General features: G+C 47.4%; 1 protein-coding gene across 8 annotated transcripts in view; it reads right to left on the reverse strand.

The window, feature by feature from the left end:
* Positions 1-13,472, reverse strand: part of DKK3 (dickkopf Wnt signaling pathway inhibitor 3) — a 46,710-nt gene that overhangs the window by 16,353 nt on the left and 16,885 nt on the right. The window lies entirely within an intron of this gene.

The raw sequence follows: 13,472 nt of genomic DNA on the forward strand, positions 1-13,472 counted from the left end.
CCCCCATGTGACTCCGGGAGAAATGCTTCCGGTCACAGGCGGGTAGCCAAGTTCTCACCAGGTTCTCAGGAACTGAATCCGGATGTGGATCCCAGGAGATGAGTGCCAGAGAGAAAGGAAGCTGGCTTCACTCCTAACTCTACCCTCCTGAGAAGTCTCTATTCCTGCCCAGCTCCTGCTAAGGCCAGGAAGTTGGTGAGGAGGGACTCTGGTGGTTTGGGGCTCACTGTCCTGGGGTTTCCTCACAGGCAGAGAAGGGCCTTTGCTACCCTCACAGATGCTCCCACCAAGTCATACCTCATCCTATGCACAATGTGGCAGCAAGGAGGCCAGCGTCCAGCCACCAGCCTGCCTCCCTCTCCACCAGACTCCTTTCTGCAGCTCCAGTTATCTGCCTAAAACACAAACTTGATTATGCACGTCCCTGATCATAATTGTTCAGAAAGCTGCTCCAGCCGAGGGGCCCTGGAGAAGGCTGAGGGTTGCACAAATTCAGTCAACACATAATCGGAGGAGACAGCCTGCCTTCCAGGCCCTGGGAACAGTCAGCCCGCATCTGTGATTCTGACATCATAAAAGAATGTGACAAGGAGAGAGGGAGTGAACAAAAGGTGTGTCCCAGTGACCCGGGGAGAGGGAGGCCTGGAGCTCTGTGGCAGCTCTCTGCTCTGACTACACCAGGCACCCGGGAACCCATGACTTCCCTTCAACAATCTCAAGCTCCCTCGGCTCTAATTCTCACTCACCCAGCAACCTACAGAAAACCAAACTTGCCCCCCAGGACCCTGACACCACATAGGGAGCATCCCGGATGGGGGTCCCCACATGGAAAGAGATGTTCCTCAACCCTGCAAATTAATAGCCTGTGCTTTTGGTTTACACATTAGTGAGGTCAGAATTTAGTTAGCAAGATTGCTGAGCAGGTCCGGTCTCTGAATCTGCAGGGCTTACGGGTTCTGGACTCTCACAGACTGACCAAGGTCATGAGTTCCTGTAAGACTGTCACCCTGAGCACATTCTACCTCACAACTGACTGTCTCCACCTACTCCAGCAACCATGACCTGGAGTCCAAACTGCATGGTATACAGAGCTCTTATTGGTCAGCTCCCAACCTGTTTTCCAGCCTGATTTTTCTGACCTCCCTAGGACCCAGATTTTTGGCCCATGCTTTTAGAATGCCCTTACCTCCCTTATCTGTCAATCAATCTTTAGGGAGCAGCACAGATGTCTCCTCCTCAAGGAAGCCTTCCCAGACTCTCCCACTGGGCAACTAGCGCCTCTCTCCTGGGTGCTCCCCAGTCCTGAGTACCCACCCCAGTTGGGTACTCAGGGCTGGAGTGATGAAGAGAGGAATAGTTCAGGGTTCAAGGACCAACAGGTGGTTATAAGACATGCCAAGACTCATACTGGGAAAGGCAAGATTCAGATGGGAGGGCTGTAAGTGCCCACAGTTGGCTTTTCTCTCTGAGGGGTGGTCCTGTCCAGGCGACCCATGGCTGGTTGGTCACTGGTGTTTCCAGGCAACCCAAGGAGGGAAATGCCTCAGTCCCTAAAGCCCCCAAGACCTGCACTGAAATCACTGGCCTCTTCTCCACCCAGAGCACTCACAGCTTCTTCGACCAAGGGACTGCTTCCAGAAACAGAAAATAGCAGGGGGCTGGAAGGCAGCATGCCCAGCCCTCAATCATACCGTCCTCATCCTAGCAGAGCACTTGGCTCTAATGACTCACTTCTAATGAACTAACTGTGGAGGAAGTAATGCTGCATAACTTCACAGCTGGGTTCTAAGAGGCAACATAGCTTCCATTTGGCTCTTTCCCTTGTCAGGTGCCTGCCCTTTGAACCAAGCCACCATATTGTGAGGAAGTCCAGGCTACATGGGGAGGCCAACAGCACTGCCTAGGGTTCCAGGCAACAGCCAGGAGCTTGGGTGAAAAGAGCCTCTAGATGGCTCCAGCGCTGGTCATTGAGTACCCTGGCTTCAAGTCAGAGGTCTCAGGCATTACGGAGCAGAGACAAACCATCCCCATGGTACCTGTCCAAGTTCCTAACCCACAGAATCCAGGAACATAATAAACGGTTGTTTTATACTGCTAAGTTTGGGTAACAGATGCCCAGAACACGGTGCATCCAAACTCACCCTCTGCCTTGCCAGCCTTCCTGCTGGGCACTTTGAAGGTGATGATCTCAGAGCTTGGCAGGTATCACCAATGCTTACGGGGCTGGGGGTGGGGCTGCTCCCCTGCAGCAAGGCTAACCAGAAGCATAATCATGGTGGGGTTTGTGCCCTCAGCAATCACACACAGCCGTCTAGAGAAAAAAGGCCTGTCTCATATCCCTCTGCCTTAGCCTTCTCTCTATGCCTCCACTTTATAGCCCCATGACTGATGTCAGCAACTTTTCCATCTCTACTTTGACCCTGCCTGGCCTTGGCTAGGACCCCTGGGCCTTCTTGGTTGCTCTCCAGGCCAAACAGGTTTATATTATCATCCATGGCTAGGCAGCTCCCCCACCCCCAGCAGAGTTAGCATTCCTATGAACCTGAGGACTTTTCATAAGATATCTGTCCTTGTGGATGTCCTGGTCTCTGGATCAGCTGCTGCAGGTGCTCCCCATGGTCCTGGTTGGTCTCTGAGGAAAGCACCACCCCCATTCCCAGCATTGCCCCCGGTGATGCTGGAAGTCCATGGTGAGGGCCTCTTTTAAAAAATAAGCGTTCTGGGCAATGAACAGCAGACATCTGGAGCTGCCTCTGGGGAGTGCTGTGGGCGCTCCAGGGTAGTCGGAGTCACGGGGGCTCCCTAATCACCATGTGTCAGGGGCGTGGGGACAGTCCTCCTGAAAGAAACACTGGAGGAGAGAGGTCTGGGGAATCATAACAAGCCCTCCTAGGGGAGATGACAGGCCCTGCTGGGTAAAGGGTCTGGGTGACACGTCAGGTCTCCTAGGAGTTGGCAAGTTGGCAGAAACATGTCCCACCAGCTTCCCCGTGGCGCTGTCTGAAGGGTGGTACCTGCTCTACCCCAGCCTCTCCAGACACTCAGCTACCTCCACAAATCTCCATCATCTTTTCCTCCTTTTCTGGCTTCAGGGTGCAAATAGCACTCTGGCTCATGCTTCATCCATATCCTGCATCTCCTAGTCTCCAGTCTCAGCCACTTTTTGGGACACACCAGAATTGGCGGACCTCTCAGAGCTGACATCTGCCCCAGGCTAATAGTGTTCAGCCGTGGAGGGTAGCAGCGCCCGGCCGTGGCCACAGAGTTCTGGGCCTTCCCGCTTCCATGGGCCAGGGAGAGCACAGCCAGTCCTCGGGCCACAAGTGAGGACGATGTCCCGCCACAACCATGGTGAGCAGGGTCCATACAGGGCCTCCTGGGGTGGCCAGAGCTTGTATCTCTTCCCTCAGAAAACTCCTCTGGAGGCCCTAATGAAATCCCCTTTCTCTCAAACACGGCAATTAATGGGATTAAGTTTAGAGTGAATCTCATGATTTACCTGCACCCAGATAAGCCTAGGACTGTTCACGGGATTGGTTGTGCTATTCCTTCATTCATGCAAGGGAAGGAATGATGCAGGGGATGAGGGCTAGGAATTGGGCAGGATTCAGGGACAGGGTGGAAGCGCATGCTTCTGTTTTTCAGTAATTACAAAAAGCCAAGCAGGCTCTGATAGTGTCCTCACTGCCCAGCCTCATTTTGATCACATTCAGGACACTACCCCGTCCTTGGGGATGGATAGAGTTTCTCCAGATTGACTCAATTGGTTTCTTGTTTGCCCTTTTTAGATGAGTCAGTGAGCTGACTTGGCCTAGCTCAGTCTCTTAAATTTGGTTTTCCTTTGCCTTGGGAAGAAAGTAATAAATGTGCCAAGTCCCTCCACACTCTCAGCACTTGGAGATAGCACCTATGCAAGAGCTGGTTCCTCAGGAGACAGTGCTTCTGAGACACAGTCCCTAGGCACATGGACTTGAGAGAACTGGGAGGTGACAAAAACTGCATCATATTTTGTATTTTCTCTGTCCATCCCAAAGGCTTAGGGCTGGAGCCTTCGGTGGGGCAGGTGAAATCTCTCAAGAAGAACAAGGTTCCAGGGGCTGTGACCTGTAATCCCTCCTGACATATCACAAGTCTCCACTGGATGTCATGTCTGCATCCTCCAGCTATGCCATGGGTAAGACAGGCTGCAGAGGGAGAAGGGAGTCAGAGGATGCTTCACGCAGCAGTTCAGGCTGCCAAGCTGCAGCCACAGGACAGAGGCCTTCTCCACCGAAGATCAGCCTTGGCTGCAGTTGTGGGCAGCAGGAGTCAGTGCAGGCCCCTATCTGGGCTACGCTGCTGTCAAATGGTCCATCTGGGAGATGCCCCAGGATGAGCTGGGCACTCCTACATCTGAGACAGAGCCCAGGCCCAGCATTTTCCAGACCAACCCCCGACCCAATGCCTATACAACAATGCTGGTAATCAGAATCTTCTCAACCTTCAGTTTCTTCAAAATGGCTCTTCATAGTCTTTAGGATTCAAACCACCTGAATGGGGAAGCTGGCATGATTCGAGGAACCTCAAGGTTAAGTCTTATCTACAATGGTGGGGATGTCACTCCAATGAAGGCAACAGACAGATCCTTCTACAGCCTCCCTGCTGCCCACTAGGCCATGTCTGTCTCTGTGACGAGGAGTGACTAGGAGGTCCCAGTGTGGACACTGGCCTTTTTAAAATAAGGGGTCTTAACTTTTTTTGTACTAGGGACCCCTTTAACACCTAGATGAAGCCTGTTCTCCTGTTCTCAGTATAACAGAGTTAGATGAATAAAGGTAAACATACAGGATTACAAAGAAAAATGGTTGTGTTGAAGTCGAGTTATCAAAATATTTTGAGAGACAGTATTTTATGGGCTTCTTATGAACACACTGGATAGCAAGACCTATCGGCAACTCTGACAACTCTCTTCATCTCTAAGTGCTGAGCATAAATGCTATTTTAAGATATGTATAACAACAGTAAGAGAAAATAAAAATATTTGTGATTGCTATTGGTACGAAGTACTGCAAATATTGTGGTTTGTTGTCCACATTTCAGATTAAAGGAAGTGCTCAATTTAATTTAAAAGTAAGTGAAAATAAAAACGCATTACTTTTCCCATGAGTTGTATCCAGATTAAGAAAATAATTCTGCTGTATGCCCAAGCTGAACAACCACTGCTTCAGTGTCCCTAATCCATTGCCCTCTTTATAAATTCAATTCAAAGAATTTGCTCAATTTCCTTTAAAAAAAAAAAAAAAAAGAAAAAGTGAAGAAAATCTAAAGCAGAACAAAACAGAAACCAGTTTGTTTTCCCCTGGGCAGAAAAAAAGTCACTTCCCCAGCCCCCTGGCAGGGCTGCTGGGTGGGGGACGGCGCCTGGGATTCCCTGCTGAGCCTCTAAGGAGCGTCCAATCTCCTGCCTTCCAGTCTCTTCCCTGCCCTGAGGAATTATTCTTTCTTTTGCCCCCAACACTACCCACAAAGTTCTTCCACAGTGAGGACGGAAAGGGGTCTCCCAGAATTTTTTAACTTTTCAAGTTGAATCGTTTATGCTAATGAGCCTGGGAAAAACTTTAATGTTTCAGTGGTGGAAAAACATATGCTTTGACCTCATTTTGCTCACAAGAGGCCACGTCAAATTTTGCTTCACTTTTGTGGGATGGCAAGAAACGTGGAACTCCAGCTCCAAGGAGGAGGCCATGTGCAGATGGTCTAGGGAAGGTGGTCTGGGCACACCCAAGTTTCCTGCCCCAGAAACCCTGGAGCCGCCCATCCTCATAATGGTCTTGGTGCTTCCGGCTGGGGCTAGGAGATTCCTTTGTGCTCCAGCACCAAGGAGCCCGGCCACACCACCAGGGTTGCCCCGGCTCTCCAAGCCAAGACTCAGACAAAAGGCTCTAAAATGACCCGCTCCCCCGACAGTGAGCTCCCCAAGCTCTCTTCCTCAGTTCTTGCTGGGCAAGCCTGGGTAAGTCATTTAACTTCATTGGGTTGCAGTTTCCTCATCTGTAAAATGGGCATGATAAAACCTAACCAGTTATGTTGTCAGAAAGATTAAGGGTGATAAGTATGACCACATTTCATGGCATGTACCAGACATTCCATTACTATTAGTGACCTTCCCACCATCTGATCATTTTGCAAGGCAGTGTTCAGTGCACTAGAAGGAGTCTAGGCTTTGGAGTAAGACAGACTTATTTGGAAATAATTGTAAATCCCAACTCTGCCACTGACTAGCTGGGTGACCTTGGCAAGTCACTCTGAGCTTTTCACTCCTTATCTTTAACTCAGGGCTAGTACACTGTGTTGTAGGTGGGTTTGGTAAGAGTGAAGGAAAGTAGCTCATATGAAATGGTCACACAGCATCTGTGTATGTGCTTAATGAATATTTGTTCTCTTTCCTTCCTCTCACCTTCCAAATCCCAGCAAAACCATGGGGATGCGGGGAGAGGAGAGCAGCTCTGCACAAGGCAAGCACTGAGTATGACTTCTGGCCTTTGATTTGAACTTTCTGCTACAGGATGTATGTTCTTTCTGGGGAAGGAGGTCCCCATAGATTTAATCAAAAAGGGAGGACCCTGGAAACAATGGAAAAAGCAAAGGCTACTAGGAATCTCCTGCTCGTGGGGCTGAGCCTAAGTTCTGCTTGCCAGGCATGAGAAGGATGGAATCTGCTGGCCTCTGCCCACCCCAGCCACCCGGGTACCCCTGGCCTGGAGGGCAGGCCCCTCCGCCATCTTCAAGCCAGGGTGTTTTTCTATCCTAGCCACTACTCTTTTGTTCCTGCCTCCTTTCTGGGAGGCCCTGAATTATGAGACTATGGAAAATTCAGGCTGTTTTCCCTGTGGCTGTATTTTCCACATCGCATCACTGAAATGTGTCAATGGCCAACCTCTTCAGACACGGGAGCATGCCACCCACTTAAAATGCCCCTCTACTGGTTTAGAATGTTCCTTTTCAGCAGCAGCAAGTCTGACACCCCATCAGTGGTGAGAACAAAAGAAAGTAGGTGTGAGATTCCACAGTTTCCTAACCATCTTCCACTGATATCTTCTCCCCTGAGCCCAAGGAGCTCTGCCATCCCTGGGAGAGGAAAACCATACAGTTGTCCTTTTGTGATGTTGGTTTTCCATCTGAGGCCTTTGGAAGGGGGAGGGGCTCAATGACTCTTGATGTTAATGACACAAGCTGTAACCCGGGAATGGAAGGCTGGGGATCAAAACAACTCAACATTATGGCTGCAAACCACCATGACTTTATCAGAAATATATCTTTTAATTGAAATGGCCAAAATTTACAACTGGGTTCATATTCCAGTTCTACCATTTTACCGTCTGCCATGACTTGCGGAATTTAACTTCTTTAAACTCCAGTGCCCTCATCTATAAAATAATATTATATCTACTTCATAGTGTTTTAAGAATTAGAAAACACGTAAAACACTGGGTATACAGCCCAGCAAACAGTAGGTGTCCAACAATGTAGATGAATGAACAAAGGCAAGAAAAACAGAGGTTCATTTTTTAAACAAATCAGACTCATTTACATACTTACAGCTCTTTACAGAATCTTACCTTCAAGGAATTTTACTTCCGTTTCTATTCCCCAATTTGCAACTAGGTCACACAGCTTTCATCTACTAAGTATGTATTCAACTACTCAACCCCTATCCATGTCCAGCACAGACACAGGGATACGGAGGTGGCACACAACAGGTGAAATCCCTGCCTCCCCAGAGTTCAGTCTTCAGACAATCCTTTATGAACTTCTAAATTTTTTCCCTGGGCCTGAGAACACCCTTTCCCAGCTGGTCTTCACCATCTTTCTCAGCATTAGGTGGCCCATCCTCTCAATTATTAATTTTTTGAGATATGATAAAAACAAGGGCACCAAGACCCTGCTTCCTGAAAAAGGAAATTCCATGTCCACCATGCACTAAAAACTGAACTGAACTGGAAATAAGTTTCCAGATCTGATGGCTGCATGATTTGGAGAAAACTACATCCCTCCCATCTCTGATTTCTCATCTGTAAAACAGGAGGTTTGGTCTGAAGCAGGGGTGGAACACAGGTTTCAAGGATAGTCCTTTCCCAACTGTCAGTTGCTGCTTGGAAGTGCTGTGCTGCCTCAAGTGCTGAGGCTATCTGGGCTCATAAGGAAACAACTCTGCAATTGATTAGTAATGTCTGCCATGTGCCCGGAGGTGGGGTATGGCAGTGGATGGGCCACATGTGTTCCTTCCTGGTTCAGAGGAGTTCAGGGGACCCTGTGAATTCTACCATTTATAATTGTGTGACTCAGTGATATACTGTTTTACTTTATCTTTGGCATGAGGCCTGTCTTTACACAAATAGCTTTTTCATCTGTTTGGTCTAGCACCTTAGCCACCATCATCTTTCAGAAGCCTTCTCAGTTACTCTTTCAAAGCAACAGCAACCTTACAACAAAATAAACATATTTACTGATTCATCACACTCAAATTCAGTAAACTACTGCTTCCTGCCACAAGGGGTCCAGGAAATTAGGTCAGAAAGGAGAATTTACACTTATTCAGCATCTATTAAACACCATTCTCCAGACATGGCCTCCTACTTGTAAAATACCCTCCTCGGGCAGTCATTAAATCCTCTTTTCACAGAGCAGCAACCAATGCTCAGAGCCATGAGGGAAGTTTCCCCAGAAGCAGGGATTTCAACTTGCAGCAGTTTGGATTCCAAATTCTACCACTATGCTCCCCTAAAACGTACCCAAATATCTTGTTTATTCTTTCTCTTCCAGGAGGTGGAGGTGAAAAATGAAACTGACAGTAGACAGAGCAATGAGATCTGAACAAACATTTAGATGACTCAATCTCCATCCATCATTTTTCCCATAGTCTGCTGGGGATGTGACCAAGAGTAGAGGTTTCCTGCCTGATTGGAGAGACCAGCTCATTTATTAGATTCGGGGGCATGACTGTGAATTCCCTGGGAGCATTAAACATGTCCTTCTGCATTCCCCGCTTCCCATCCTGACCCACTTCCCTTCCACTGCTCCGGGCTCTGACCCTGGAAGAGGAGACGGTGTGACTGGGGCCTCTGTTGGCACTGTCCCCTGGCCTACCTCCCGGGAAGCCCTCGCTACCACAGGTGGGAATTGATAAACAACCATCATCACCACAAAACCTCCTTGGAGGCCTGAGTCCCCCATAGGACCTCTTGGGAGTCTGGAGCCCCTTTACAGGGAAGTGGGAGGCCCCTCATGCCTCTGGGGAGTCTTTGAGGACACCATGGAGGGGTAAGGGTGGGGCTCATAAAGGAGGGTGTGGAGTGGGTGTTAATTCCTGAATGGTCAAGGAAATCACATCTCTGGATCCCCACAATCTCCACGATGCAGCCTGAGCCTGCATACGCCCAGGCCTAGGGAAAGTTTTCAGCATGTTGGCTACAGACCAGGGTGAGGGGTGAGAAACTCAGGTCAGTGGCATCAGTTAAGCTTTAAAAACACTCCCTGAGACTATGGCTGCCACACTGCAGAGGCAACCGCTGGAAACAGAGTTGGGGAACGCACTGCCTTATCCAAGGACAGCAGGGGCCAGGAATTTTGAGACAGTCCTTCAGCTTACATTGGGCACTTATGTCCTCTAGTGCCTACAGTCATGAAGACTGAAAGGTTGAAAAAAAAACTTCTACCTTGTGCCCTGCTGGTGGGAATGCAAAATGGCGCAGCCACTATGGAAAACAGTATGGTGTTTCCTCAGAACATTAAAAATAGAATGACCTTATGATCTAGCAATTCCACTTCTGGGTATATATCCAAAAGAAGTGAAAGCATTTGATATGAAAGAATATCAAAGAGATATTTGCATACCTGTGTTCATAGCAGCATTATTCACAATAGCCAAAAGGTGGAAGCAACCCAAGGGTGCATTGACAAATGAATGGAGAAACAAAACATGGTATGAATATATGAATATATCTATGTATATACACAAACCATGTATTATCATTCAGCCTTAAAAAGGAATGAGACTCTGATACCTGCTACAGCATGGATGAACCCTGAGGACATTACACTAAGAGAAATTCACCAGTCACAAAAATACAAATACAGTATGATTCCACTCATATGAGGTACCTTGAGTGGTCAGAATCATACAGACAGAAAGAAGAATGGAGGTTGCCAGGGGATTGCAGGAGGGGGGCATTGTTTAATGGGTATAGCATCTCTGATTTGCAAGATGAGAAGAATTCTGGAGAATTCTTTTCTCCAGTATAATTAACCCTGCTGAATTATATGTGTCAACATTGTTAAGATGATATTTTATATTATATACATTTTATCACAATTTTTTGTATGTTGCATTAAGAACATGAGTCTTGGAAGTTTTGGAATCCACAAGACCTAAGTGCTTCATTTTATTTCTCTTTTTTAGTACTGGCTCAGCCACCTACAAGTTCTGTTTTATAATTTTCTCTGAGCCTCAGTTACTTCATCTGTAAAATGGGGTCAACTGGGTGTCTGCCTTGTATCATTGTCATGTGGATCGTGTGAAGGAATGCAAGTCAGATGCCTGGCACAGCGCCTGACTAAATAAGGGAATACTGGGACATGTTGTAGCCCTTGATGTTATTTTAAAAACAAAACAAAATGGACTCAATGAGTTTTTTGGAATGATGCCAACAGGTAAAGAAGGACAGGGCCACAAATTTGGCAGCCAGGATACAAAGACCCTATGGTGAAAGTTATCCAGGCTTGTCTGGAAGAATCCCCAGGTCCTGAGAGCAGTGGACAGCCACACACCTGCATGGAGGAGCTGTTGGGCCCCTGACATGCCCAGGCTACTCAGAGACCACAGAAATCAGCTTGTTCTGCAGCCGACACCATCAACCTAATGAGAGTTCAAGTTCAATTACTGTCACTTATCTGTCCTGTCTACTGGCACCAAGCAAAAGCAAAGTGCTCCATTTCTAAGTAACGGTTTCCAGATTTCAAGGCCAGAAGCCAGGCTTTTTGCAGGGTACAGGCTTTGCAGCCCAAAGGGGCTCAAGCCTTCAGCTTCAGCAGGATTAAGCAAAGCTCCATCGCCACGAATGTCTGTCTTCCAAACCACATCTTCCTGGCTCTTTCCTCTAGGGATTGCATGAAGTCTCATTACAGTATACAGTACAGGACATGGTAAAGCACTGCAGATGCAGGATATGTTCCTAACTCAGCATGTATTCCTAACTCCTTGGCATGGCTCTCAAAGGCCTGCCTGATCTCATCCCTGCCTCTCCCCCAGCTTTACTTGCTGCTCCCCCACGCACATCTCCAGCTCTGGCATTCTAAATTGTTTAGCGTTCCTCCAACATATTCTTATTTCCACATGCCTCCTTGACTTTGAACAAGAAATACTTGTTCAACGAATACCCTTTTTCCCCACAACTGAGAATTCCTAGACAACATTCAAAATACAGCTCAACTGCCACCTCTTCCAGGGAGCCTGTCAAGAAGTGTGAAGGGTCTAAGATTCTATTCTACTTGCAAGATGATACATGTTCCTGCCACGGTTTCATGGCTGCTAGCAGAAGACATGAGACTTCTGGGTCAGAGACAAAGGACTTTATTTCAGCAACACGGAAACAGCATAAGCCTCTTGTCTGTATCAGTTCTCCTTGCCTGCAGGTTCCACACTGCCCCATGGAGGGGTCCAGACGGATGCTGCACATGCATTGGGTTTACATCACACCTAAGGGATCTCAAGCTCAGAGAACCCAAACCTTTGATAATGGACTGCAAGCAAACCTGCCCTCTGCCAAGGAGGGAGAGCTAGCTCTGTTTTTCAAGGCCACCGCCTAGAAAAGATGGCCTGGAACAAGAGATCAATTAGTGTCAGATATAGTTTGGATATTTGTCCTCTTTAAATCTCATGTTGAAATTTGATCTCTAGTGTTGGAGGTGGGACCTAGCAGAAGGTAGCTGGGTCATGGGGGCAGATCCCTTATGAGTGGCTTGCTGCTGTTCTCGCTCTATTAGTTCCCATGTGTTCTGATTGTTAAAAAGAGGCTGGACATAGTGGCTCATGCCTATAGTCCCAGCACTTTGGGAGGCCGAGGTGGGAGGATCTCCTGGGGCCAGGAGTTCAAAACCAGCTTGGGCAATATAGTGAGACACTGTCTCTACAAAAACAAAAAAACAGAAAAAAGCCTGGCACCTCTCCTCTCTCTCTCTCTGTCTCTCTCCTCCCTCCCCTCACTTCCTCTCACAATGTGATGCCTGTGCACCTTCATCTTCTGCCATGAGTGAGGGCTTTCCGAAGCCGTCACCAGGTGCAGACACTGGTGCCATGCTCGTACAGCCCGCAGAACGGCAAGCCAAATAAACCTTTCTTTGTAAATTACCCAGGCTTGTGTACTACTTTATAGCAATGCAAATGGACTGAGAAGTGCCTTTGCTTATAAAATGAGCAGAAACAGAGACCCGTAGAGAACTGTCTCCCAAGCAAGTCTTCCATGGCTACCTGGTTTTCCCCTGCACCATGCCCCCACAATGCCCTGTGCAACCTTTGCCTTTCAAAATTATGCATCCATATTGTAATGACTTGTTTATTTTTTTTGTCCACTATAGCCTGGATGCTTCTCCGATGTTAGAGACTGTCTTTTACACTTCTCTGCCAAAAACGTAGCAGGTACTCAAGGAATGTGCAAATAAATGAATGAATTAATACTGATAATTTTGATAGCCAAGGATTGGGCTACCAAAATAATCAAATCATAACAAATGCCTGCTATTTACTGACTTCTTACTCTTTATGTTCCAGGTATTGTATAATATTTTGACCTGGGTTATTTTATTTTATCTTCATGACAATACTATATGGAAGGTACTGTTATTAAGCCCATTTTACATATGGGAAAACTAAGGCTTAGAGCAGTTCAGGAACTTAACCAAAGGCACACAGCTAATAAGCAATAGAATTGCCATTTGAACTGGATCTGCCTGTGCCCGAGCTGTTAACCACCCCCTCTGAAGTGCTGCTTCTATCAGCAGTCATCTAAACCTTGTCTGTATTCGCAGGGGTGGAGGCAGTAGCCTGCATGTCCCCACCACCCACCCTCTGTGACTCAGCCCATCAGCCGCCTCACATAGACATTGAGCACTCAAATGTTCCTGCTAGGACTTCCCACCTCCCTAATCACCTCACACTGGAATAGATGGTATTTGCTCTTGGTATTTGCTCTTGGGCATGGCCTGGAATGCAAAACTGACCTTTCTCCCTGACAAAGAAAAGAAGGGATAAGATAAATTTGCAGACTCTACATTTGATAAAATTTACAGTTCTCAAACAGCCATCCCCCTTGTTTATATTTCTTTGATCTAATAATCAAAGAAATATAAACAAGGTGCCATGCTCGTATAGCCTGCAGAACTGTAAGCCAAATAAACCTCTTTTCTTTGTAAATTACCCAGGCTTGTGTACTCCTTTA

Source organism: Homo sapiens, chromosome 11, assembly GCF_000001405.40.
Source record: "Homo sapiens chromosome 11, GRCh38.p14 Primary Assembly".
In the NCBI taxonomy this organism is placed as follows: domain Eukaryota; kingdom Metazoa; phylum Chordata; class Mammalia; order Primates; family Hominidae; genus Homo; species Homo sapiens.